This window comes from Homo sapiens, chromosome 3 (assembly GCF_000001405.40).
Source record: "Homo sapiens chromosome 3, GRCh38.p14 Primary Assembly".
Classification (NCBI taxonomy): Eukaryota; Metazoa; Chordata; class Mammalia; order Primates; family Hominidae; genus Homo; species Homo sapiens.
This window is the reverse complement of record NC_000003.12, coordinates 64,247,369-64,274,526: the sequence shown is the minus strand read 5'-3', so window position 1 is coordinate 64,274,526 and position 27,158 is coordinate 64,247,369. Positions and strand designations below refer to the sequence as shown.

Here is a 27,158-nt window from a genome sequence, read left to right as displayed (position 1 = left end):
TTTCTTATCCATACCTTCAACAGTGCATTTGACTGAAGTATAAATATGATTCCTGTTGTCTTAAGTCAGAATATACCTTTTGGGTTTTTTTGTTTTGTTTTGTTTGTTTGTTTTTGAGGCAGAGTCTCACACTGTCGCCGGGGCTGGAGTGCAGTGGCACAATCTCGGCTCACTGCAACCTCTGCCTCCAGGGTTCGTGCGATTCTTCTGCCTCAGCCTCCTGAGTAGCTGGGATTACAGGCGCCTGCCCCCATGCCCAGCTAATTTTTTGTATTTTCAATAGAGATGGGCTTTCACCCTGTTGGCCATGCTGGTCTCAAACTCCTGACCTTGTGATTCGCCTCCATCAGCCTCACAAAGTGCTGGGATTACAGGTGTGAGCCACCGCGCCCAGCCTTGATTCTTAAAGTAACCCAGGATCTCCAGAGCATCCTTTTCATAATCTCCTCACTTATTTTCATTCATTCCCTCCTTCCTTGCTTCCTTCCTTCTCCTTTTCCTTCCTAGCCTCCTTCTCACTCTCTGTCTCCTGTCCCTTCCCCCTAATATTTCACTGGAGTTTATATAACTGAATTAATTAGACCTATTTCTCAAGGAGTTGGTTTTCCAGAAAATTCACTTTGCAGTTGGCATGACAGAAGAGCTGGCATATTAATCAAATGCTACAATTTGTTCTTTGTATCTGAATGAGGCTGAGGTTGGACTTACTGCTTATCTGTTGTCCGTTTTTACCATTCTGTCCTTTGCAGCCAAGGAGCCTGGATTGGATTCTTTGTGATTGGACTGGGTGGTGGTTGTAAGTGTTGATAGATTGGGCATAGACCTGCTGAATGGGGACAAACCCTATCTCCTTAGTTACTGTTACAGAGTCCCCAGGATATAAAGTGTCTGTATGAAAATAAATAAGAGCTTTTCTTTTCCTTTGTTTGGCTGATGATATCTATACCATTTAATAGAATAAAATGATAAAAATCTTTGTCCTTTCTTAAATAACATGTTAATTGCTGTTTTATGTATTTGTTCATTTTGTGTTTCTGAAATATATTCAGTTTATAGACATTTCTGTCCCTCGATGCATTTTAAATTCTCAAGCATCCTCAAATTATGTATATTGAATATAATCTTGTATATGTGGAGGGGGATACACTTTGTAGCTAATGGGGAGATCAAAGTTACTAGCTTTCTCCATTTAGTCAGCTTGTTGCAGAATACAAAGGCTGCTCAAGGATTTGAGTTCATATCTTAAAAGCTCATCAGAAATATTCTAAGCTATAGATTTTTTTCTCTCTCAGCAACATTTCGGATATGGAGGTTCTCCTCGGTTGCCCTTGCAAGTGTTGCTGAATTTAAATGCCACAGGAAAAAAGAAAGATCTGTTCTGTTTTTTCATCTGTGGAATGAGGGGGTTGGACTAGATGGAAGATGTCAAATTTATAGCATTAGTGCTGTCACTCCTTATCCATCCACATGACAGACATCACTAACCAATCATAGTGTGCTTTCCTGCCAACGCAGCATGACTTCTTGTCAAGTCAGCACTCCAGGAAGCCACTACTAATCAATTGATGCTAGCCCAAGACATGAGATCTATTTCCATTGTGAAACAAGTGGTGTTTACTCCCAGGAGTATACTCAAGATGGTTACAAAAGTTAGGTACTCACTGGACAGTAGAAGGAAGAATGTCAGAGTGCCTTGTTTTTCAAGTAAAGAGGATCTCAAATTACTACATTTTATGCTCCTGAAGGCAGGGATTGTGTTTTAGTCTTGTTTCTCCCTGTATACCCAGCCTACATGGTAAACTATATCTCATAGTAGATACTATATAAATGTTTGTTAAGTAGTGCACGAAGGAATTAATGGAAGAGCATGCCCTTGCCCAATTCTTTCCTAAGACTTTACAGTTCAGTGCTTCTTCCAAAGGGCAGGCACAACCTTTGCCATTACTGAATTTCATTCACTTCAGTTTAGGCAGTTCCTCCAGGTTGGCTAGATAGCTCTGTGTTCTTCTCCACCAAGCACTGGCACAGCCCGGCAATGATTGGCTGGACTTCACAAGTATCTTCTCTATGTATCATCCCCATCATCCACAAACCTATTGAGTAATGCTGAGGAGGGTCCATTTAATCCTCCTCCTGCTTGACGCTGAATTCTTTCAACTTGATGTGTAATTGGGAATCTGAAGGTTTAATGATATGAACAAGAATTTTGTCACAGATTCAAGATTTAACACTGGAGAAAATCATTTATTTGACACTTAACATAGGAAGCCCTTATTAGTTGTATTTTGGGAAGTAGATTTGAAATTATTTTATGGAAAAGACTAGGTCTGATAACTCTGTATTTTGATGATGATATGTCTTTCATATGATAGATACTCAGTAAACAATTTATATTTCTCAGGGTAGTTTCATGAAAGTAGACTGAAGTCTCTGTCTTTAACTGTTAGAAGAGAATCATCTTTGAAAACAGAAGGTTTTTTTTTTCTACCCAGGCACTGGATTTTATCTAATAATAATATTGGATACCTATTTAGTAGAAATTAATTATGGGCTAGGCACTCTGCTACATGCTTAATATATATTCTCAAAACAGCCCCAAGACTAGTGATAAGAATTCCATTACAGATGAGATAAATGAAGCTTGGAGAAGTTACACAACCTGACCAAAGCCACAAGATAATAAGTGGCAGAACTGAGGTTTAAAGGCAGATCTGATTCTAATCTTTTCCCCTAAAGATACCAGGTCCCTCATGGTAGATGTGACTTCCTGCAAGAAGCCTTCCCTGAGCTACCACCTCTCCCCGCAAAGTTAGTTGAGACATTCTTCCTCTGAGTTTCCATAGCAGTTTCTATTCCCTTATTATGACGTTCTCCATTGTGTGATAGCTGCTTCTACCACCAGAGTAAGACCCCTGAGGGCAGGGACTTGGGGCTTTTTGTTTTATTTTGTTTTCTGTTTTTTACTGCTTTTGTTTGGTGGCTGAATAAATGCATCTTTCCCAGGAGATCTCTGCCACTTTGCCCTGGGCACCTGGACACCATAGAAAATACAAAGCTAAGTCTTCAAGAACATGCTATTGTTTTGTATTCCTTATATTTGGGGATGAAAATTTCAGGAAAATAGAGTCCAGCTTCAAATGTGGGATGGCAGAAGTTGCCTCTCTTCTGGACTACAAAGTGCCGTCTGCTACTTACCGCTGTCGTTGCATTATCACACCGCTTCATTTTTCCCCACTTCAGTTTTTTATTAACTGTTGTTTTTTGAATAATTAATACTTGCAAATGCTCTATGTTTATCCTGTTTGAGATGGCTTGTGCTTCTTGAATGGGAGGATTCATGATTTTTAAAAATTTCAGAAAATTCTCAGCCATCATATCTTCAGTTATTGGTTCTTCCTGATTTCTCTGGTCTCTCCCTATGGGAGTCCTATTACACAGACGTTGGGCCTTCTCATTATATTCTCCATATCTCTTTATCTCTCAGATATTTTTCAACTCTTTATCCTTTTGTGCTTTATTTGTGTAGTGTCGTGAGATCTACGTTTCTTGCTTTACTAGTATCTATTTAACCTGTCCTTTGAGTTTTTAATTTTAGTGGATCTATGGAGAGGAGTAGTCATCATGTCTTGTTCTTTTTAAGGGTTTCAATTTTAGCTTCAGTGTTTTAAATCCTTATAAACTTTCTCATTCCATGTTTCTTTTCAGAATGTCAATTGTTTTATGACCTGTAATTCTTGAGCCTCTTATTCTTTTATTTGTTGACTTGTAACATCAGTTTCTTGGATGTTGTATAATTTACCGTTGGGATCTCATGCTTGTGGGATTGGTTGTAGCCTGGGTTGTAGAAGTGGCCAGAGAAATCTTCATTTGTTTCTATAAGGCATTCCTGGCATGTCACGAACAGGACTAATTTTAATATTAATTTTTTTAGTCAGAGCTTCCTGATTTTGACTTTTGTTATTCCTAGAATCTCATGAAAGGCACAGCCCTAGGATTTCTCATTCTCAGTTAAAACATTTCCCTCTCACCCACAATACAGGTAGAGACAGACAAGTTTTACCTAGGTGGTTGTCAATTTTTCCAATCTATTTGTTCATTGAAGGTGCAGCCCTCAGTGAATATTTTTGGCTTTCTACAAAGGTCTTGTAACAGCTTCCTGCTTCTCTTTGTCCCAAGGCACTGTCTGTCTCCTGTGTGGGCATTACAATCCTAGCCCCTAGGGAACCAAGACAACCCTTTTGTCTGCCACCAACCACTCTTCCCTCTCTCTCATAGCCACAGCATAACTTTGCATGCTTCTTACTCTTGTTTTTAATTACCTCTTTATTTCTTGGTATTTTCCTGTGGTTTTTTTTTTGTTTTTTTTGTTTTTTTTTGTTTTATGTAAGGTCTCATGCTGTCACCCAGGTTGAAGTAGATTGGTGCCCTCATGGCTCAATGTGGCCCTGAATTCCTGGGCCGAACCAACCACCTCAGCCTCCTAAGTAGCTAGGACTACAGGTGCACACCACTGCAACCAGTTAGTTTTTTATTTTGTGTAGAGATGGTGTCTTGCTATGTTGCCAAGTCTGATATTGAACTCACGGCTTCAATGATCCTCCTGGTGTGGCCTTCCAAAGTGTTGGGATTACAGGTGTGAGCCATCGTGCCCAGCCTTCCTTTCTTTATTGTGAGTCAGCTAGGCATTTAAAATAATTTTTGTTATATTTTATCTAGCATGTCTAGGTATTTGAAGAGTTGGAATTTTCAGGTTGTCATCATTTGCCATTTTGCCAGAACCAGGACCTTGTTACAAGCTCATGGTAAAAGGTTCAAATAATATACAAGGACATATGATGAAACGTTAGTGTCCTTATCCTCTTAGATCTGCCTAGGCCTCAAATCACCTTGTCAGTAACAACAACCTTTATCATTTTCTTAGGCATGGTTCTAGAAGTACTTTTTGCATATACAGCATATGTATGTGCACATACGTAATACATGAAGATGTTTTGTGCAAGCAGAAATATGTTTTACTATCTGCACTGTACTTAGCAATGTATTGAGGAGCTCAGTGCATACTGGTGCACTTAGTTCTTCCTCTTCTTTCTCATGACTGTATAGTATTCTATCATATGGATGTATCATAATTTACTAACGTCCTGTATTATTGGATAATTATGTTTTCAGTTATTTTGATCTTATAAACTATCCTACAATAAACATTCCTTTACATATGTCTTTGCTTGTATATCATTTAGCATAATTCACTTCGTCTGTTTCCTTCTCTCCCCTCCTCCGCCTGCCACCACTATGGGTTACTTGTGGTCAAGGACTTTATCTTTCATTGATGATCCTAGTACCTGGCATGGGGCCTGGCACTGAGCTGGCACTTAACTCACGTTTGTTTCATTAATAACTGTGCTCACTACAAAGTCAGATCAGCAGTCAGACTCAGTCCAAATCTCCAGCAAATGTATTTTAATTGCAGTGATAACAACAGCTATTGACTGTTCAGTTGTCCGAGGTTATTGACTGAGTGCCTCCTCTGGACTAAACATGAGCTCATGCAATCTTTACTACAACCCTATGAGATGGTAAATTTCATGATCATGCTTTACAGACAAGGAAACTAAAATGCAGGTTACCTACCTGTAAGAGGGAGAGTCCATATATGAACACAGTTTTGTGTGAAATTAATGCCTGGCCTTTTGACTACTCTCTTAATTAACAATTGTACTGGCATAGCCAACATGGGACATATTTCCATTGTTCATTCTTTTGTGTATTCATTCATTCAATCAATAAACAAACATTTACTGAGAGCTCACGACGTTCCAGGTAGGGAGTGATATGTCTTGATAAAAACATTCCTACCTAGGTAGAATTTACAGTGTAAAGGGAGTGACAGATTAAGCAAAAAAGTGAAAATGTGATGAGTGGCTGAAAAGAGACATAAGCAAAGGCTTTAGGAGCACCAAGAGCAGAGAGCCACGAAGGCCTCCAGTGTCTGTGATAAACTGGATGAGCCTTGAAGGACAGCAGTGGGTTGAGGGGGGCACAGGAGGGGTGAAGCCTAGGATTCCAGCATGCCCCCTGTTCCTTGTGTGCGTGGCACAGTCGAATCTTTCTCTTCCAGCCACTGCCAGCTCTCAGGACCTCTGGTGTGAGGGCCAGAGAGCCTGTGTCCTTCTGCTTTTGAAAGGTGGCTCAGCACTCCATTAGCCCTTTCTAATTTTAAAGTAGTAGCTCCCTTGATTGAAATCTCAATTTGGGAACAGGCCTAGGATTGGCCTGTGGCTCGAGATTTTCACCAATAAGCTGAGTGGGAGGTGGGGAGGTGTCCCTTTAAGCAGCCGGGAGGCAGCCCAGAGAGCTTGGAGCTCCTCTCCCCAGGACCTGAGCGATTTTCCTGGATCCGGAGCTGCGCACAGAGCAGCTGCCGCCCCAGGAATGTTACCTGCCTTGTGCGGAGCCCCTGCAGGGCCCCCTTCGGCTCCGGGCAGTTGGCTGCCGACGCCCCGCTGGGTTCCTTAGCTGCGGCCGCTACCCCTGCCCCTGGGTCTCCAACCCCCTTTCCCCGGCTCCCCCGCAGTTTCCCGGGCCGGCAGAGGCGCCGCAGCGTCGGAGCAATGCAAGGCTAAGCCGGGTAAGTGGCCCCCCCATAGCCGGGGAGCACAGAGGGCGGCGCAGGGGCATGTTTGCTCCTGGTTTCAGGAGCTCCCCTGAAAAAGGGGCCTTGCAGCTGGAAACTAAGCTCTGGGAGAGATGCGCTTTGCCACCCAGACGCTGGGAAGTCAGGAGCCCCGCGGTGGGGACCTGGTGAACTGAGGGTCTGAGTGTCAGCCACCTTTCGCGCAGCCACTTTATTAACCAGCAATGGTAATCATAATATCACGAGGCGATGGTGGTATTATTGTATTAGGACTACTTAAGAGGGAACATGAAAACATCCCTGGACTTGCTTTTTAAATAGCCTTTATTCTCTTAGAATTCATTTTCCCCTAAATATTTAAAAGGTATTTACTGTTAATGACCTAGTTATTTTCTATTCAAAATATTTCTTAACATCTCCAGGAAGATCTACTTTAAAACATGACTTACTTCTTCCCACATACCTTTATATTTTGAGCTTATATCCCCGAAAAGATAAAAGTTGTTTATTTTCCCAGAACTTTAAAAATCCATTTCTTTGCTTCTTGGTGGACTTCGGTAATGAAGCAACTCTGGATTTGTTAATGTGTTCTTTCTGAATTGGGGTAGGTGGAGAGGGCCCTTCTCCTAGCCCTTCCTAGCTCTACATGGGGGAGTGTATAGTTTGGAGATGAGAGAGTTAATTCTTACTTTCCAAGTTGCCAAATGCACCCTCTCAGATGCTGGAAGAGTCAGGACTTGGTGAAGGTTGGGATTACAAATCTGGAGTGCCTGGGCAGCCGTGCCCTGGGAAATTTTAAAACCAAAATAATCAGGAAAGATTGTGGGTAGGTGCTGGGTAAGATTTAAAAGATGAGGTTTCAGCTCCCCCCACCCATCTGTTCACTTGTGTGTACCTAAGCAAGAGGTTGAGAATCGAATGCAGAGGGTCAGTTTACTTTTTTTTTTTTTTAAGATGAGGCAGCTGGAAGACATGCCTTCCAAAATTGGAGCAGAGTCTGATGTGTGGATTGCCAAATTCCATTTCCGCCCATATTAAATTATTTTGGCTTCTAGAAGCCCTTATTTTGCTGGGCCGGCCTTTATTTGCAGTTGTTTAGGTGGTGTGAATCATTTGTATACTTTGAGTTCCCTGCTTTCTGTACGCAAATGTTTTTATCTGTGCAGCTAGTTGAGTAATTAGAGACATGGACATGGCCCTGTCTGTACAGACAGAACAAATACCACTTGGGGAAGATCTGGGCCTTTCCTTTTCAAATCATCAATTGCCAAATCTTCCCAGCCTGTTGGGCAATTCAGATAAAGGTGTCAAGTGAGCTGGGCAGTGAAGAATTTATATATGCAGCTGATTCTGCTCATCCTACAATAAAGCATCTTCCCATGGGGCCAAAAAGTGGGGGTTAGGGAGGCATATAAAAATGATCCTGTGTTCTTAGTCACTGACTACCCAGCTCTCTCTGGATTTCTGAGAACCTGCCAGGAGAAACTGTTGACTGGATGGAAGTTTCAAGAAATGCAGAACAGAAATCAGGACAAGCCCTCCTTGAGCAACTTTTATTTCTGTTTGGAGGAAAGGAACACTTTGTTAGAATAACAAATTGTGGCTGCTTTTCAAGACCAGAAAACCGTTCTTCTTCTGAAGGCAGATTCGTTTTAAGAGTGTGAATCATTTGGTTTAGCTTTTTTTTTTTTCTTTTGCGGTGGAGGCTTGGAGATGATTAAACGTCCTGTCTGCAGGAAATTACCAGGAGATTTGAGTATTTTCCTGAATCAGCCTCAGATGGTACACAGCTTTGGGTGTAATACAAGAAAGCTCTGTTACAAGGCAGTCTTTCCTCAGTGATACCCTCAATCTCACACAGGCTTTCAAGCCTCTGCATCAACAAGCCTTTTATTTTTTATTTTCGGGGTTGTACTTCCATTTAAGAAACTGAAATAACTCTCTCATTCCCTCTGTGAGCTTAAGATGGAACTTATTTTTGAGACAGTTTTATCGAGCCCACTTCCCCACTAGCCTCCTCCCACTTAGCTTCAACAGGAAAAACTCTTGGCTTCTTTTCCCAAGATTTCTTTTAAGCCAGAATTGTTATCCTTAGGGACACAGATGTGTCGAGGAATGAGAGGTGCAAAGGTTTGAACTAGCACTCACCAATTTGGTGGTGACATTTATGGTCTTTGTGGAGCTGTTTGCAGAGCAGGCTAAGTGGTCTTGTGTTGGGTTTGCCCTGAAGTACATCAACAATATAGAAAATGGGCAATGAAAAGACGGTAAGAGGCAACTGAGGGACATGCGTGCTGCTTTGTGTAGCTGTGTATGCAGAGATCTGTGGGTTTTTAAAAATAATTTAGAAAACCAAATCTCAGAGATGCTGTGCTCCCCAGGCTGTTTTTCTTAATCTTTCCTGAAAAGTACTCAGTCACATTAAGCACTTCCTATCACTATCATAAAGTAGGAGAGCGCTAGGTGAATATAAACTCTGTGCGATATTCTGATGTCAATGAGAGGAAGCAGAGGGAATGATTTTTTTTAGCTACTAAAACACAGAATGGTAATCCTAGTTGAATATAATGAGACTTTATGGAAATTGTATTGAGGTTTAAATGTGATGTTCCAAAAAAGTTTCTTTGATATTTTTTATTTTCTCAAAATCTGAATGGTGAGGAATTCTTTTCTGGGATACTTAGCATTTGATTGCCATTCAGTTTTTTTTGTTTGTTTGTTTTTTGTTTTTCTTTTTGCTTTGTTTTGTTTTGTTGGTGATGTTTTTTCATATCCTGCTCCTCTGTGTGACCAGCAAAGGAAGGCTCATTTTTGCAAAGATTGTAATCTGGACAACTTCCAGAAGAATGGAAGATGTAGGGGTAGCGGAGGGAACAGACGCAGGTACTGTGGGACTCAATGTCTGGGAAAACTCATGAATGATCTCCCTGCAAGATTAGCCCAGAGGCCTTTGAGAATTGCTTCATATTTGACTTTTAACAGCCAGCCTGTGTAGAGAAATCCTTGTACCTATCACTAGGGTCTCTCCCTCTTCACAAAGCATCTTCCCAGGCAAGATGCCAATCCACAGGGAGCGTATACGTGACATTGCTTATCACATCTTTCAAAGGTTGCTTCTTACTACTTTTTCTTTAAAACAGCTACTATTTGATCTCTTGGGAACATTTGCAAAAGGTTACTCTGCATTCACCCAGGCTGCTGTAATTAGTCACTGGTTTTGTTTTATATTTTCTGATGATTGAGGCTCTGTTCAGGCTTCTGGGGATAAGCAAACATCTGTTGAGTTGGATGTTAGATAAATTCTAATTTTGAACACTAAGTTGTCCAGGCTGGAGAAGAGGTCTCATCTTGCCATATTATAAATGATAACATCAGTAAACAGAATGATGCCTGTTAACTTACTGAGCTTTTGCCAAGCACAGACTTAACGTCTTACCAGTCTTTCTCAGACTTTATAGTGCATAGGGATATCCTTCAGGGAGTCTATTTCATAGGTCTGTAGTATGACCTGGAAATCTGCATTTAAGAAATATCCAGGTGGAACTCTGGACTTTATCTTGAGAAGCACGTCGCTGTTTGCTCTTTATTACTGAAAAACCCTTACGACAACCCTATGAGGGTTGGTGCCATCAGCCAGCCTATTTCACAGATGATGAAGGATAAGCTCAAAGAGGTTTGGTAACTCCCCTGAGACACAAGGCTACCAAGTGGCCATGCGGGGGACCTGGACCTACAACTGTCTAATTCCAAGCATCTACCTGGGATGCTTCTTAAATGCAGCCTGTGCTCTCAAGCATTTGCTCTTGGTGGATTGTTGGCGGGTTGTGGAGTGGGGGGTGGGGTGGGCGGTCTTCTCTTTATAATTTATACTCAGTAACCACCCTTCCCACTGCCCTGCCGCCACTCTGCCGAAGCCTGCTTCTCTAGGATGCTGGCATTCTGTAGACAGCAGTCCATGAGGTCCCCATTTAGACAATCCACTGTGATGGAATTGAGGGAGACCACATGGGGCAGAGGCCCTCGTGGCAACAACTTGAGGAGTGTTCAGCTCATTTGCCTTGGGTTCTTTAAGTTCTGAACCAAGATGACCCAAGATAAGGCTGATTGACTGTGAAGTGCTTTTAATTCCTGCAGCTTTTGGAATTCTTAAGACAGTTATGTTTCCATCAAGGGCCCTTTCTACCTGGATGTAGGTGCCACTTTCTTGCCTCCAATCCATAATGCCTCCCACAGGATCCTTTCACAAGACCTCACCCTACACAGCCCCAGAAAGTTGAAGCCATTTCCTAATGCTCAAGGCCTGAGCTCACTTGCAGCCCTTCCTGCATTCTCTGTATATCCCCCCATTCTGAGTGTAATCCTGTGGAAAGTGAACTCAAAGGGAATATTGTAAAGAGGAGAGGCAGAGACTGAACAAAGCCTCATTTAAGCTTCTTGCCTGATTCTCCCTTGGCCTGACCTGATTTCTCCTAGTCTTTGGGGCACATGGACCAGGAATGATTTTTCTTGCTTAATTGCTGCAGAATTGTGGATACAGGACAGACCACTTAACCTCATGAGCTTCAGCTTCATTATCTGTAAAATGGTATGTTCATGTCGACCCTTTCTCCTTCGGGTACAAGTGATGTAATGTCCAAGAAGGCACTTTGGACTTTGTTTAAACACATTTTGAAAACTTACTCATGTTGCCTTCTAGCAGTGGTTCTCTTACTGTGATATTGGGAATACCTGTTTGGTGAATTGCTCTTCTAAAAAAGAAAACAAAAAAAGGCGCCATGTGTGCGTGGAACATACGATGTTTTACATCTCCCTCTTGAGCCATCACAATTCAAAGGCTATGAGAAGGCCTGGAGTAGAGAAACCCATTGAGGCTTGATGTTGCATGTTCTGTGCTAATGTGACCCTGGAACCCCCTTTCAGCCTCACCTCTTAATGTGCCACAGAACACACTTGGGGGAAGCTGTTAAACTTCAAAACGGTGGCTCCACCACTTATTAGCAATGGGACAAGTCATTTACATCTCTGAACCTCAGTTTCCTTGTCTGCAAAATGGAAATAATTGGGACACCTACCCTATGGAGTTTTAGGGAGGGTTAAATATGTTAAGAGATGTCAAGGTCACCCTCTGCCTGTCAGCAGGGTTTGTCCCAGTGGATCATTCCCTCCTCTTGCTTCCTTCTATAACTTTCTGTCTCCCTCTTACTTTATCTTCCTCCTACCTCCCAATTTCCTTTGCTGCTCTTTTCTCCTCTTCTAATTTTTTTTTTTAGGTCAGCCGCTCCTGCCTCCTTCCTGCTTGCTCATGTCTTTTTCATCTTTATTGCTCCCTTGTTGACGCCATCCAGCCCATGGCTTCTTGTTACACTGGACTCTTGACTAGTGGAGTCACATCTCCAGCCTGGACCTCTCTCCTGAGCTCCAGACTTAGATACACATCTCTTCTCAGCATCTTCATTAGATGTCCAATCGGCTTCTCAGACTTGCTGTGTCAAAACATAGCGCTAACTTTTTCCTTTCCTTAAGCCTTGACTGTGTCAACAAATGGCACCTCCAGCTACCCAGTTGCTTGAGCTAAAAACTTTTGGCACCTTTGATTGTTCTCTTTCTCTTACCCTCTCCCCATATCCTATCCAATGGGAATAAGTCCTTTCAGTTCTACTTCAAAAAAATAGCCCAAATTGTAGCAGGTGAGGGTGAGAGGGAGGGAGGACTGACTAGAAAGGAGCTTGAGGTAACTTCCTGGGGTGCTGAAAATGTTTGATATCTTGATAGAGTGTGCGTTACATGGATATAGGCATTTTTCAAAATTGATGAGACTCTACATATAAGGTCTATGGATTTTGCTGTATGTAAATCACACCTCTGTAAAAAATATGATAGAAAAGATACATATCTCAAACCTCCACAGGTCCAACTTTAGTCCATGCTGCCATCATTTTTCACCTTGATTACTTGACAACCTTCCCAAACACCTAGTGGTTCTGAAGCTTAAATCACATCATAACATGACCCTGTTTAACACCTTCAGACAGCTTCTCATTGCAATAAGGACAAAACCCAAACACTTTGCCGTGACCTGTGAGACTCTCCCACCTTAACAAGTTCTAGCCCGTGCCTACCTCTCAAGGGCATCTTCCTACCTGGCTACTGGCACCCGTGCTTCAGTCACAGGCCAGCCCAAGTTTCTGCCTACCTCTGGGCCTTTGTGCTTGCTGTTCTTTCTGCTTGGAATGCTCTTCCCATAGATCTTTGCCTGGCTAGGAGCTTCTCACCATTGAGATCTTAGCTTAAATGTCCTTCTGTCAAGAGAACTTCCTGCCTAGCCTTGCTCCATGACTACACTCCACAGCCCACATTTTTCTTGGCCACATTATCTTACCAACTTTTCTCCAAAGCACTTTCCAAGATCCAAAATATTTTATTTTCAATATGACAAGCCTGTCCCTGTCCCTTCTTGTCCCTTAAAGGCAAGGATTGCATCATTTAAATCCCATCTTCAGTGACAGTACCTTCCTTCTAGGAGGGCTCCCTAAACAAATTTTGACTGACTGATTAACTGATACCTGGGCCAGTGTCTAACACTGCAAGAAAATTATTAGGAAATTAAAAATTTTTAAGTTATTTTTATTACTCTCCTCCTTTCCTCATCTCCCTCTTACTTCCTGGGGGTTGTAGAGATTAATGTGCTTCCCAATGCTGCTAAGTCCATACACTTCACATTTCTGTGCCTTCTTTTTCTGTATTAATTGTAAACCAGATCAATTATAGTTGCCCCTTGTGGAGGTCTGTAAACCCCTTGGAGTGAGACATTATTTCAGCACTCTGTACAAGTGAGGCATGAGTGTCTCATCACCTTTTAAAAATTGCAACCCTAGCTAATGGTTTTCTCTGAAGACCCCAAGCTTCTGAACTCTCCTGCCTAGGAAGTCTGATCAGATGCAGCTGTCCTGGGAATTGATTTGGGATCCAAAAGTTTTTAAGATCTACTACAACTCCCACAAATGGCTTTGGAACTCAGAAAGCAGTAAACATATATATTTTTTAATCTGTCAGAGCTGATCTTTCCCAGGGAACAAAGGTTGAACTGTATGTTTAGTGCCCCAGACTTGCTCTTCTCTCTGGCCCCAAAAGCCACAACCTCTCACTGAATGTTATTGGTGGAGTACTAATTTAAAAATCAGAGCAAAGGGTTGCGTATTCTAAAAGTGGAAAAAAACATCAACAGATATTGGCAGGGAAGAGGATGTCCTTCCCCGGACGAGAGGAGAGTAATGCAGGCATTTCTGAAAACCCATAAGCCATGGTTTATTTATTTGGACTGTTCATTGAGTTACTAAGACAGGAATAGCACAGAGGTTTTATTTGCCTGCAGCTCTGGTTAAAAAGAATTAAAGGGGCCCCTTCAGGGCTTAGGGAAATAGTGCTGCGATTGATTAGCAGTGTCTGCCATGGGCAAGAACTGTTGTTGTACATAAAGAATTAGAGAATGTTAGATTTGGAATGAACCATGGAGATTATCTAGTGCAACTCTTGCCCTCGTAGCTGCTGCACTGTGTTAGGGGGCTTTAGAAGAATAATCATGAGCTTGGCAAAGTGATAACTCTTAGCTTTTCAGGCCTTTGTTCCCTCTTGGGTCCCGTTAGTGCGTTCAGTGTGGTGTACTGCAGCACTTCCTGAGAATGTGCCAGGGGAGCCTCACAAGAGAGTTCTGAGGCTGGTCAAGTTTGGGAAAGTCTATGGTACCATATCTCCTTCTCAAAGATTCATAAGGGACAATAAGCATGACATAGGGCCTGAGAAGTCCAATCATAAAGAAACCCACTTAACATTGTTTTCCAAACCTGGTGATTCTGGCGTGTTTTTCAAGGACACCTGTTGCCATTTTGTAGAACACTCTCTTTAGATGCTGCTGTGTTATGCTTAGGGAGAGTGTTCATTTCCTAGGGCTGCTGTACCAAATTACCACAATCTTGGTGGCTTAAAACCACAGAAATTTATTCTCTTACTGTTCTGGAAGCCAGAAGTTTGAAAGTCAGGGTGTTGGCTGTCTCTGGGAGAGAGTCTGTCCCGGCTTCTTGTGGCTGCCAACAATCCATCCTTGGCTTTCCATGGTTACAGCCGCATCACTCCAGTAGCTGCCTCCATCTTCACATTGCTTTCCCCTCTGTGCATGTGTCAAATTTCCCTCTGCCTCTCTAAGGATACTTGAGGTGACATCTAGAGCCCACTTGTATAATCTACATAATCTCATAATCTCTTCCTTTCAAAACCTTCAATTTAATTATATCTGCAAGGGCTTCTTCTTCAAATATGTTATGATTTTCAGGTTCTGGGGATCAGGACATGGACATATATTTGGGAGGCCATTTTGCAACCTACCACGGAGGCACATTGACTCAAGCATTAGGAGACTTGGATCAAGTTCTCACTTAGCTACGAGCTCCTCGGTCCCAGGAAGAGGCAGCAAGGGTGTTTAAACCAGGAGTCAGGCCTATTTCCTCACCCCTCAGAACTTCAGTGTCCTCAGCTGTTAGTGGGATATACCTGTATACTTCCTAGGCGTATTATAAAATTAAATGAGATAAAACTTGTGGTGCACTTAGCACAAGTGAATATCAAGTAAATATTGGCTTACTGTTATATATTTTTACTACTGCTGTGTTGCTGCCACTGTTATCATGTTCCTTCTCTTTGAGTCTTATTGTCAAATGAAGTGATTAAGGCTAACTCTGGCCCAAGAATTGTCAAGGATCCTTTCAAAATTAGCATACTGTGGGTTCCAGATCTCTCAAAGGTCACATTACATCTTCTAGATCTTTTCACTGAAGTGTAATATATCCATATAGGAGAGTGAACTTATCATAGGTGTTCAGCTGAATGAAATTTCATAAGCTAAATATACCAGTGTTACCAGCACACAGAATCAAGAAATAAAATATTACCAGTGCCCCACAATCCCTTTTTGCACCCCTACTTAATTCTAACCACTCTCCTGATTTCTTTCTTTCTTTCTTTCTTTCTTTCTTTCTTTCTTTCTTTCTTTCTTTTTTTTTTTTTTTTTTTTTTTTTGAGACAGAGTCTTGCTCTGTCGCCCAGGCTAGAGTGCAGTGGCATGATCTCGGCTCACTGCAAGCTCTGCCTCCCGGGTTCGTGCCATTCTCCTGCGTCAGCCTCCCCAGTGGCTGGGACTGCAGGCACCCGCCACCACACCTGGCTATTTTTTTTTTCTTTTTTTAAGTAGAGACAGGGTTTCACTGTGTTAGCCAGTATGGTCTCGATCTCCTGACCTCATGATCCACCTGCCTTGGCCTCCCAAAGTGCTGGGATTACAGGCGTGAGCCACCACACCCAGCCTCCGATTTCTAACATCATAGATTGTATCAGTTTTTATACCTTACATAAAGGGAATTATACAATATGTACTCTTGCATACCTGGCTGCCTTCACTCAACATTCTGTTTGTGAGATCCAATTGTTTTCTTGTGTATAGTTGTAGATCCTTCATTTTAGTTGTTGTATAGGGTTCCATTGTTAAATAGATCAAAATATATTCATTCAATTGTTGCTGGGAGTTTCCTTAGTTTCTGGTTAGAGACTTACAAAAAGTGCTGTTACAGACATTCTAGTACATATCCTTTGGGAGTGCATGCATTGCTGGGACAAAATCCACAGTACTTTCATCCAAGATGTCTTCCCACCCCCACCCGCTAATTGCTTGCTTCAGATGCTTTGCAACATGACAGTTTCTTATAACCAAGAGTATCTTAGTCTGTTTGGGCTGCTGTGACAAAATACCATAAACTAGGTAGCTTATAAACAACAGATTTTCTTTTACGTTCTGGTGCTTGGAGGTTCAAGATCAAGGTGCCTGCAGGTTCGGTGTTTGATGAGGGTTTGCTTTCTGGTTCATAGATGGTGACTTATTGCTGTGTCTTCACACAGTGGAAGGGAAGAGCTAGCACTTTGGGGTCTCTTTTATAAGAGCACTAATCCTATTCATGAGGGCTCTATCCTCATGACCTAATCACCTCCCAAAAGCCCCATCTTCTAATACTATCACTTTAGGGGTTAGGATTTAAACCTATGAATTTGAGGGAGAAGGACACAAACATTCAAACCATGGCAAAGGATAATAGCTGATTAGTAGGGATGATTCTCATCCTCTGGCCCACCCACTGCCCTCCCAAGCCATTGGCCATGCCTACATTCTCTTGATGTGTTGAAATCTTTTGAGCCACCACTCTTTCCATAAGACTTTCCCCTTGGCTTGCCTTCCAGTGGGCTGGGACTGGATGTGGTAATTTTGAAGGAGTAAACACCCAGCTAAAGACACAACTCCACCTTTCTGCATCCCACTCAGGGCCACCTCATTCATTTGCTCACACCCCCACTGCCATTGCCAAATCAGCCTTTTCTTCCCTGACTGCCTTAAGGAGAGACATGATGGGCTGCACATATGCCTTTTCTTCTCCATCAGGCCTCCACTGAACTGGTCCTACACTCCCCTTTCATACTCCCATCCCCAGTGTTTGGAACAGCCCAGACTGTCTTACAGATTAGAGCATGTCCAACTGAGGGTTGGGAACAGAAGGGTGGAGGGAGGAGTTGGCACAAACTGGCAGAGTGATGTGAACATGAGCCAGAAGCTTGGCAACATTGCCCAAAAAGGTTGGGAACCACTGGTTTAACTCAGCCAAATAATTTTTCTTATATAGGGGAAGGCTGAAACTCATGCTTCAACTGCTCCTGGTGATACATGTATGAGAGACTTTTCCTGGATCCCAAATGAATGGGTGAAGCATTACTATGATGTGTTGAATATCATGTATGTGACTTTGCCCAGGGTTCCATTAATTGGCACCAGGTTGGCAACTTATACATGTCAATTCTGGTATTGGGAAATATCTGATGGATATTAGGCTCAGTTACCAAACCATTCCAGAAAAATTTAAATGAAATTAGACTCAGTGCCAAAAAAGACTCATATCCATTTTGTCCCTTTGTGTTAGGTGGCCTTAAAAATGCATATGTGACTGATGGGATAGGGAGGGAGACATGGGAGACAGTGCATTCTAAGTGTCTTTGTTATGCTGTCATGTTTATTTTTTCTTGCCTGATGACCAAGAAGTAGGAAAGAAGGTGGAGATGCTTGGAAGGGGTGAGGTTGACTCTGGAAATTTTTTATCTCTTTAAGTCAACAAAGAGTTAAGCCATACTTTTCTATAGGATTATAATATCTCACAAAAATGAATAAATAGTTGAGTAACTTTGTGCCAGGCTTTTTTTGAGATTTAATTTTAGTAGCAGGTATCATTTATTGAGTTATTTTCTTTATGATCAGCAGCATGTTGGAGACTTTTCTACATCATGGGTCAACAAACTTTTTCTGTGTAGAGCCAAATAGTAAATGTTTTAGGTTATGCAAGTCAAGAGGCAAAATCAAGACTAGTATGTAGGTACTTGTGTAATGAGAAAACAAATTTCCACAGATTTTTTTTGACAAAATTTAAAATACAATGATAATAATTGAGTATAACCTTTCCGAAATACAGGTCTCCTAATGAGAAGAATGGAATTCATTTTTGAGGAAGTGAGGTTTAGAGTTACTGTCTCCTATTACCAAATTGATTGCAAATATTTATCTATAAAAATCACTCTTAGCTCCTGGGCCATATAGAAACGGGCTGTGGGGCTGGACTTGGCTTGAAGGTCATAGTTTTATTTACATTCTGGCTGAGCCTTATATGTAAGTAATGATCAAGTTGGACTGCACAGAACAGTGAAAACCTCCATAGTGGCATGAATGAGTCAAGCCTTTATTTGTCTCTCCTCAAAGAAGTTTAAAGGTGTCTGCCTAGGGCTAGTCTAGCAGCTTCACTATGTCACAGAGACCCAGCTTGCTTTTTTCCTGCCCTGCCAACCTCGGCATATGGCTCCCTTCCTCAGAGTCGCTCCATAGTTCAGCTGCTGCCACCATGTCTGCATTCCAGGCAACAAGAAGAAAAAAGGCAGGGAAGCAGTATACAGATACTTTCTTTTAAGGAGACTTCCCCTTGTCTCACCCAATGCTACTACCATCTCCTTGGCCAGAACTTTGACATATGACCACACGTCTTTGCAAAAGAGGCTGAGAAATGCGGTTGTTTACTCAAGTTGTGAGTGTGCTTAGATGAAAACTGGAATCCTGCTACTGAGGAGGAAGAGGAGATGCTGAGGTAAGTAACTAGAGTTCTCTGTTATATTCAACAAGGTAGAAAATGAGCGCTAGAGAGATTTCCATCTGCCCTGAGGCCTTATGGCAGCAGACTGGGATTTGAACTGAGGCCTGCTTAACTCCAGGCTCTCCTCTCCCTCTCCCTGCATCTGCCGTCAAGCACTGTGAGGAGGTCCATATGCATCCTGCTAGGAATGAGGTGTGGTCTTGATTTGTATAAACCCTTGCTCCCTCCAAAGATGCTCCCAAGGAACCTATAAGGAAGGATGGCAACATTCCCCTTTAGTGGAGGGCCCTGTAAAAACTGAATCAGGGCACATGGCTGAGGTTGAAGCCTACACAGGGCCTCCTGATCACTCCTAAACATAAATGCAAATCTTGAGATTCTACCAAACTTTTTCTCTAGTCACATGGAACAAGAAGTAAGTTCAGTGACCAGCAAGCTCAGGCATGCACACAGAGAGTAAACTTGTGCATGGAGGGAAGACATGGGACATGGAATGAAAGCAGTAAGTGGGTATGTGATCTTTTAAAGTGACCCTACTCACTACTATGGCTTGGAATTTGGCCAACATGGCTCACAGTTTTTTTATCCTAAATGGGAAAATGTGGGAGGTAGATAGGCGCTTTCAGGTTCCTTCTACATACATATGGGCATGTATATATCTAGCTGTTAGGGAGAATATCTAAATGCTTGCTAGGTACTGAAACATTTATCTCAGGTGATCTCACAACAATCCTGTAGGGGCATCATCATTCCATTTTTAAAGATAAGCAAATATGGTGTTGAGAGGTTAACATGCCTAAGACCATACAACTGGTAAGTGGTAAACCCAGGTAGTTGGACTCAAATCTTCATTTTCAACTGTACTATTTCTGACTGTAATACTAAAGGCAATCTGTGAGATAAAAGCTATGATAACCTTGTCAACAAAACATGTGGGTTTACAACAGAAGGAATGATTAATTTTGACTTGAGAGGAGGGATCAAGAAAGCTTCCGAGAGGTGATGACATTTGATCTGGGCTCAAAGAATGACTAGGACTGCGTGGGTGGAAGAACAAAAATCCATGAAGAGAAATTATTGTTGGTCAAATGTATAATGTACTCTAATAATAATTAGTCCTGGCCAGTTAGGAAGTGAGAAATAGATTGAGGGTCCCTGTCTTTTTGCTCACCTTCCAAATATCACCATCACCATGAAAACAGCTGATCCATACTCCTGGGGCTGTTTCTCATCTAGGTGGTTTCTTGTCTAGCTCTGTTTCAGTCTTGTCTGTCGCCTTGGGAGACAGGAACAATACCTCTTGCCAGAAGCTGAGTTGCACTGAGTTTTGATGCTCTGGTATTGAGTTGTTGCTTCCTCTTTCCACTGTATTCCTGACTTCAATTTATCTAAACCTGGCTGTGTGTTAGTGTAAAGGAATCAAGCTCATAAATAAAATAGGAGGTGAAAGTAGGTTTTAGTAATGAGGCTCTGGCTTAATCGCATCAGCAATCTAAGGAAAGAGCCATTAAATATTTATCAAATTGTTGCATTAACATTTTCACTGTGCTTGCTGTGGACATTAGAACACTCTGGAGAATGCAGCTGTCTACCACCAAGCAAGAGGAAGGGAGTTGTGGCTGCCCCGAAACATATACCTGTATTATTACAAACCTCCATCCATCTGAAGGCCCCAAAGAGACTACATTAGTAATCACTCATCTCACGAGGAGACTTTGTTGAGGTTTCAGAGAGTGCGACAGTGCACAGGCGTTGATGGAGCTCCAGCAGGCCCCTCACCTTGAAACTCCTCTCATGACACTGGCCAGCGGATCTCATGCACATTCCACGCTACCCTTTGATTTTTTTCCAAGGTCACTGTTTCTTGAGAGCTTTGTTTATGATTAGTTTAACTGTGATAAACTGTGGTAAGAAGTAAGTCCTTGAATTTCTTCCCCCTTCTTCTTAGTTTAAGAATTCTTTAAATAAGGCTGTGTTTGCCTGGATGAGAGATTGCAGATTCCGTCAGCAGATCCAGCACTTGTCTCATGGTTGCCTTCCAAATAAGGCATGTCGAAGGTATTCTACCAGTATAAGGTCTTGAGCCGGTCAAAGAACCAGTTATTATGCTTTAAAAAGCAATTCATCATCTAGAGTAGTGAACTTGGGTGTTATTTTTAGGCCAATCTTTTAATGTATGTGACATGCAAGAATAGGGTTTCTCATGTGAACTTCTTGAGGGTTCATGAGAGAGTAACTGGGGAAGTGGGTAGGGTGACCGGCAGAGGTAGGTGTCTGAACAGCTGTGTGATGGTCCCATAATTTAGTACTTTTGAACAAGAACTCAGGAGTCAAACATCAGTTCCAGTTTCAGCTCTGCCACTTACCAGTTATATGATGTAGAATGGATTACTTAGACTGCTGAAGTCTCAGCTTCTTTACTTATAAAATAGATTAACTATGGTATCTACCTCAACAAATTGCCCTGAGAATGAAATGAGATAAAGCACATTAAAGTCATTAGCATAATAGTTGGTACACAGCAATCACTTAATAAATGATAGCTGTTATTATTTCCAGAGCTTTTATTTTTAACCTAGGGCTTCTAGTCTTTAAGATTTTCTGTAAGGTCAGGTGGGAGGTGAATCTTATACAATCAAGTTATGGAAAGTTGGAACTGGAAGGTACTCATAGATCATCTAATCCAATGGTATGCAAATTATGACTCTCTGGCTGAATCCAACCTGCATCCTGTTTTCGTAAAGTTTTATAGGAACATATCCATGCCCATTTACTTTTGTCTTGTCTTCACTTGTCACACTACAAGGGCAGAGTTGAATAGTCATGACAGAGACTATATGGCCCACAAAGCCTAAAATATTGATCCTGACCCTTAATAGGAAAAAGTTTGTTGACCCCTGATCTAATCCAGTGAGGTTTTACCCCTGAGGAAATCAAGATCCAGAGAAAGGAAATGACTTGCCAAAATACATAAACCAAGTCTTTCACAAAAGTTTCCTGACTCCCATGCCTCTTCCCACCGTCATGCGTCCTGGGTCCTGGTTTAGTAGGGAAGGGCTGGGGGAAAAGCTCATGCTGCTTGTGTGTTGAAAACTGTGGCAAAAGTGCTATTGACCATAAATAACCAATTTTGCCATGGAGGAAACCACTTTTTAGAGGTAAAGAATCGATGTTGGGATGATGCTGGCTCATGCCCAGTACTCTGTTACTGCATCGGCTGAGAGCTTCCAATTTTATGTTCAATTTTCTCCAACAGTTCACCCAAGGGATGTAGAGGGGTTGTGCTTCCAGCTGGCCCCCATAGCATGTGGTTGACCTGAGTGGGCATAGTCAGTGGTGACCAAGCTTGAACTTTCCTGGGAGAAAGGAGAGTTGGTATAGGAGCCCTTATGGGGGTGCAGGGTGATTTGAATAAGCTTTTTTACCTCAGAGTGTCTAATCATGGTGATTGCCTCACATTTTTCATTTTTAGTTTCCTGTTTGAAGCACTTCATTTAATCTTCCCAACAACCTTATCAGGTAGGAAACTATGGGTGTAGATTATGCCTATTACTTACTTTTTTTAGACCATGTTGGGTTGATTGAAATGCATTCTTAATCACTTTGCCATGTCTCCAGTGTGTTCCATTAAAATGTGAATTCACCCATAGGAAGGTCTGACCAGACAGGCAGTAAATGATGTCTATGTGCAAATGGCAAGAAGCCCCCATCCTTAGGTGGTGCATCAGGGCATTTATGTCCCATATGCACTGATGTGTCCCCAAAGCCTGGAACAGAGCTGGGATGTAGTAGGAGCTTAGTAAATATTTGTTGAGTATTTGATGAACCAGATTTCATGATGTGAAATGTTCTTAGCTTAAGTCACCAAATATAACTAGATTGCTCTGCAGCAAGGGAAAACCCAATCTGGATCAAGGGGCCCAGATGCAGATTCAGAAATGGAACACTTGAGACTTGCAAATCAAGATGAAAGGCACTGAATAAGAGACACCTAGGTGTGAGCTAGCCCCAAACTCTGATGTCTGTCCATGCTTCTCCCCTGCCCTGTAAACAAAATGAACTCTCTGCTTCTTGACCAATATGTGAAGGGGAATCTCATAGCTGGCTCTCTCCCACCACACTGAAATTTTCCCTTTTTTGTCAAAGTCGGCTGTATCAGGATTTGTCATCTTATGCATACTGATTAGGTATAACATGATTGCTTGGTGGGAACTTGGATTTCTTGCCCCCCTGTCCCACTGACAAAGAACCAGTAAGGAGCCTACTGTGGTGGGGGAGTGGGAGAGGACATGCAGAAGTGGTGGCAGAGTGGGAACTGCCAGCTCCTGGTATTGTTTTTGACACTCAGATGCTCTCCTGATTCAAAGTGGACTGTGATCCTTTTGTGTTTGCGTGGAGCAGGGACTACCTGGAGCGGGGATGGTTTTGACTCATCTTTAAATGTTTCAAATTCCTAAGCCTTATATTGCTAAGCCTTTTAGTCATGGAAGTGAAGATAACCAGCCTCCCTCAGACTGGGCACCACATGTTGGATTGATTGATTGATTGATTCATTTAATCAAAATATCTTTATTGAGCACCTATTTGCATATCCAACATGTGCACAATAGAGACAAAGTCCCTGCCCTCGTGATCTGATATGTCTAATGGGTGAAGATAGACAAAAAGGAAATATATAGCATGTCAGATGGTGACTACTATGTTGCTGGGGTTGGGCTGAGGGTGCTCCTGCAAAGAAAATGTCAGGAAAGGCCACATTGAGTTTAGAACTGGAGGAAGTGAGGTGTGCTGGTTATTGGGGGAGTATCTCTGGCAGAGGGACCAGCACCTATATTAGCACAATGCAGGAAATGCCAGTGTCTATAAGACCATGCCAATCTGGAAAAGGACTTGGGGTTTCACTCTGTGCTAGGAAGGGAAGCCCATGTCGGACTCCATGCACTACAGTGATACAGTGGATAGATTAATCAGGCCTTTCTGGGTTGCAAGGTTCAACATCTCAAGTCAAACCAGTATAAACCAAACTACAAAGTGCCATGATCTCATGAGTGAGGCCTTCTAACTCTTTTAATGTTCTTATCAATGCCCTCTCCACCAAAAACACCTACTGATTGGCCCTGCCTTGATAACATACATTCATGGACTAATCAGGGATGGGGGAAGAGTGTGGGATGCTCTGGTTGTCAGTTTGGGTTGTATGCCCACCCCCATGCTAGGTAAACCTGGCCTCTGCAACAGCCCAGCAGTTCCTAGCTGGTTTGAACTCCCCACCTGGCCCACTCCCCTAGACATTTGGTAATGTCTGGAGACATCTTTTATTGTCACAATTTGGGAGATGAGGCCACTATTTGAATCTAATAGGTAGAAGTCAGAGATGCTGCTAAATATCCTACAGTACACAAGACAGCCCCCTCCAACAAAGAATTATCCATGGAAAATGTCAGCAGTGTTGAGGTTGAGAAACCCAGATCTAACTCCATGAGGATATTGTTCCACAGGAGAGCAAGTATTGCAGGCCTGATAAAAGGCTGACTCTCATAACCTTCCAGGAAGCTTGCTGATTGGTGATGCTGTGGTTGAGAGGTGAGACCAGTGCTTGCTTTGGTGATAAAGGGAAGGGAAGTGAATGTGAATGTGGCATTTGAAGTCCTAGGTTCAGTTTTACCTCTGCTTCATAAGAATATTCAGGCCTTGAGCACGTCATTAAGCTTCTGTCAAACCATCTCACCAAGTCTCTGGGAGGGTTGAATTAGAAATGCCATGTGAAAGCAATATTGATATGCTACACAATGCATGCTCTCTAGTAAAAAACATATTGTGTGCAAGGCGCTATACTAGGCACTACTTATTTCACAAAAGAGAGTCTCCACCTTCAAGGAGCATTTATTATAGTCTGGAAGATAGGAACATACTTGAACTACAAGACAGCAAGTAGTAAAGTAGCCCTTAAAAGGTGAGAGGGATTCAGACCTGGATGACATAACATTCTGGAAGTAGAATAGAACAGATGACCAGTAGGGTTCAAGGAAAAGAGCTGTGGAGTCTTCACATCATTTTTTTTGTAACTTTCTTCCCCTTGGGGTTGAGCAATGTGGCAACAAGTGGTTGGCTGTGTGGTTCACCCATTGGTGCATATTAATCTTTTGTACTGAGCCTCCATTTGACAAGACAATGACAGTTAATATCTTGCAAGTCTACTACAGTTACTGTAGCAGCTATCACCCACATTGGATTGTGATATGGTTTGGCTCTGTGTCCCCACCCAAATCTCATGTCGAATTGTAATCCCCCCATGTTGGGAGAAGGGCTTGGTGGGAGGTGGTTGGATCATGGAGGCAGATTTCCCCCTTGCTCTTCTTGTGATAGTGAGTGAGTTCTCATGAGATATGATGGTTTAAAAGTGTGTGGCAGCTCCCCCTTCGCTTTCTTTCTTTCCTCCTCTGCCATGGTAAGAGGTGCTTGGTTTTCCTTCATCTTCTGCCATGATTGTAAGTTTCCCGAGGTTTCCCAGTTGTGCTTCCTGTTAAGCCTGCAGAACCAAGAGCCAATTAAACCTCTTTTCTTCATAAATTGCCCAGTCTCAGGTAGTTCTTTATAGCAGTGTGAGAACAGACTAATACAGATTGTTAATGTATTTATTTTCCTTTATGTAATAGGAAAAGATTGTCAGAGTTTTAAAAGTAGTAAATACTAGTGAAAATAACTTAATAAATCAAAGGTATTTAAATCACAGCCTTAAATTACAGCTTTGGGTAAGGAATTTAAAAAGAATTTCCCTTAAGAGTTAAATTCTCAACTCATTTTCAGCTTCATTTCAGGTCTGTTACTAGCACAGGTAGTATGTTATCATGGTCTGTTATTAGCACAGGTAGTATGTTATCATGGTTTCTATAGAGTCTTCTATTATTTGATTTGGTTTCCAAAGAATGTTCATTAGGATCAAAGATTTGCCACATTTTGCAGTATGGAATGGGATGGGGAGGGAAGTAATGGTTTTTTTGTTTTGTTTTTTTTGGTTTTGGTTTTGTTTTGTTTAAATATATGATATCAAATGAAAGGACAAGGTTTTTCCAGCTGGGTTTGTCTTAATGGCTTCACCTCTTACTCCTTTGATGTGAATGGTGATTGATCTGTGGTTCAAGTCACCACCTTCTTGACAGCTAGAAAGGCTGACCTTTTTTGGTTTAAGAGGTGGACTTTAATCATTAGCCTGCAACTTACTGCATATGTGGGTGTCCCGGCATCCACAGGTTGGTTACACATTAATTAACTCTCTGATCTTTTCTCATTGGAAACTTATTGGGGAAAGGAGTCAATTTCCCTTTGAGTTGACTGGCAAGTTTTTGTTTTTTTGCCTAATTATTTGCCATTTGCCCCTTATTAAATGCTTTCCTTGAAATGAATAAGGAGCATTGAAGAGGAGTCTAGATGAAACCATTTGCTGCCAAGACAGATCATTAGCAAGAAGTTAGTGAGAATGACTCACAAAAATTAACTAACGTTGAGTGAATTATTTCTAATATGCACTTACATTTTCATCTGGTGAGATAGTGGGCTGCCTTTTTAAAACTGAAATGTGTTCAACTTACTCCTGCAAAAATTTTCAGTGAGTGAAGTTTCAGTTACATAAGTTTTATAGCGGATGGTTGGGTTTTAACGTTTTGTGGATTGAGGTGCCCAGCATGGGGAAGATGTTAGTTTTTCTGACCCTTCTAAAGAATAAATGGCTGATTTCTTAGTTGGTAACAAGCTGGCAAAAAACAGTCCAGACCCAAGGTCACTTTGATCTCAAAATGACTTTTTACAACCACTTGTGTTTGAGGCCCATTAGAAAATGAAATTCCATGCTATAACTCCTAATTAAATTAATTTCTTTACTAAGAAGCAATTTAAGTTGTCATGAAGTCTTTGAATCTCAGTGCATTGCTAAAGAAATTTTGGCAGGGGATAGGGGGAGTTAACTTTCTCATATGTCATAGTCATAGCCCAGGTTGTTTAAGTTATGATCTACAGTACTTCAATCTTTGCACTCCTTCTTTTGAAATAATGTCTTATTAAGTAAAAGGAAGGAAATTTTTGCCTTGCTCCTAATTGCTGAAAAATTTTGCATAGCTAAACAATGGATTCAAAAGAATCCACCTACAATTAAAGCCTGATTCAGTAAGATACAGGAGATTATGTATGATGTAAGACAAAAAGATTACAAAATGAAATGTCTTTATCCCCTGAGAATAATAGTCATTTAGAGTGTTGGTTACTCTTTTAAGATCAGAATACTTAAGGATAATCTGTAGCCTATAAAT

At 41.8% G+C, this 27,158-nt stretch overlaps 1 protein-coding gene across 1 annotated transcript in view; it reads left to right on the top strand.

Annotated features, from left to right (window-relative positions):
- The window catches only part of PRICKLE2 (prickle planar cell polarity protein 2), a 175,938-nt gene continuing 155,133 nt past the window's right edge, over positions 6,354-27,158 (top strand). Inside the window, exon 1 of the mRNA NM_001370528.1 lies at positions 6,354-6,628. The gene's annotated coding sequence lies outside the window, so the exon portion shown is untranslated. The remainder of the gene's footprint in view (positions 6,629-27,158) is intronic.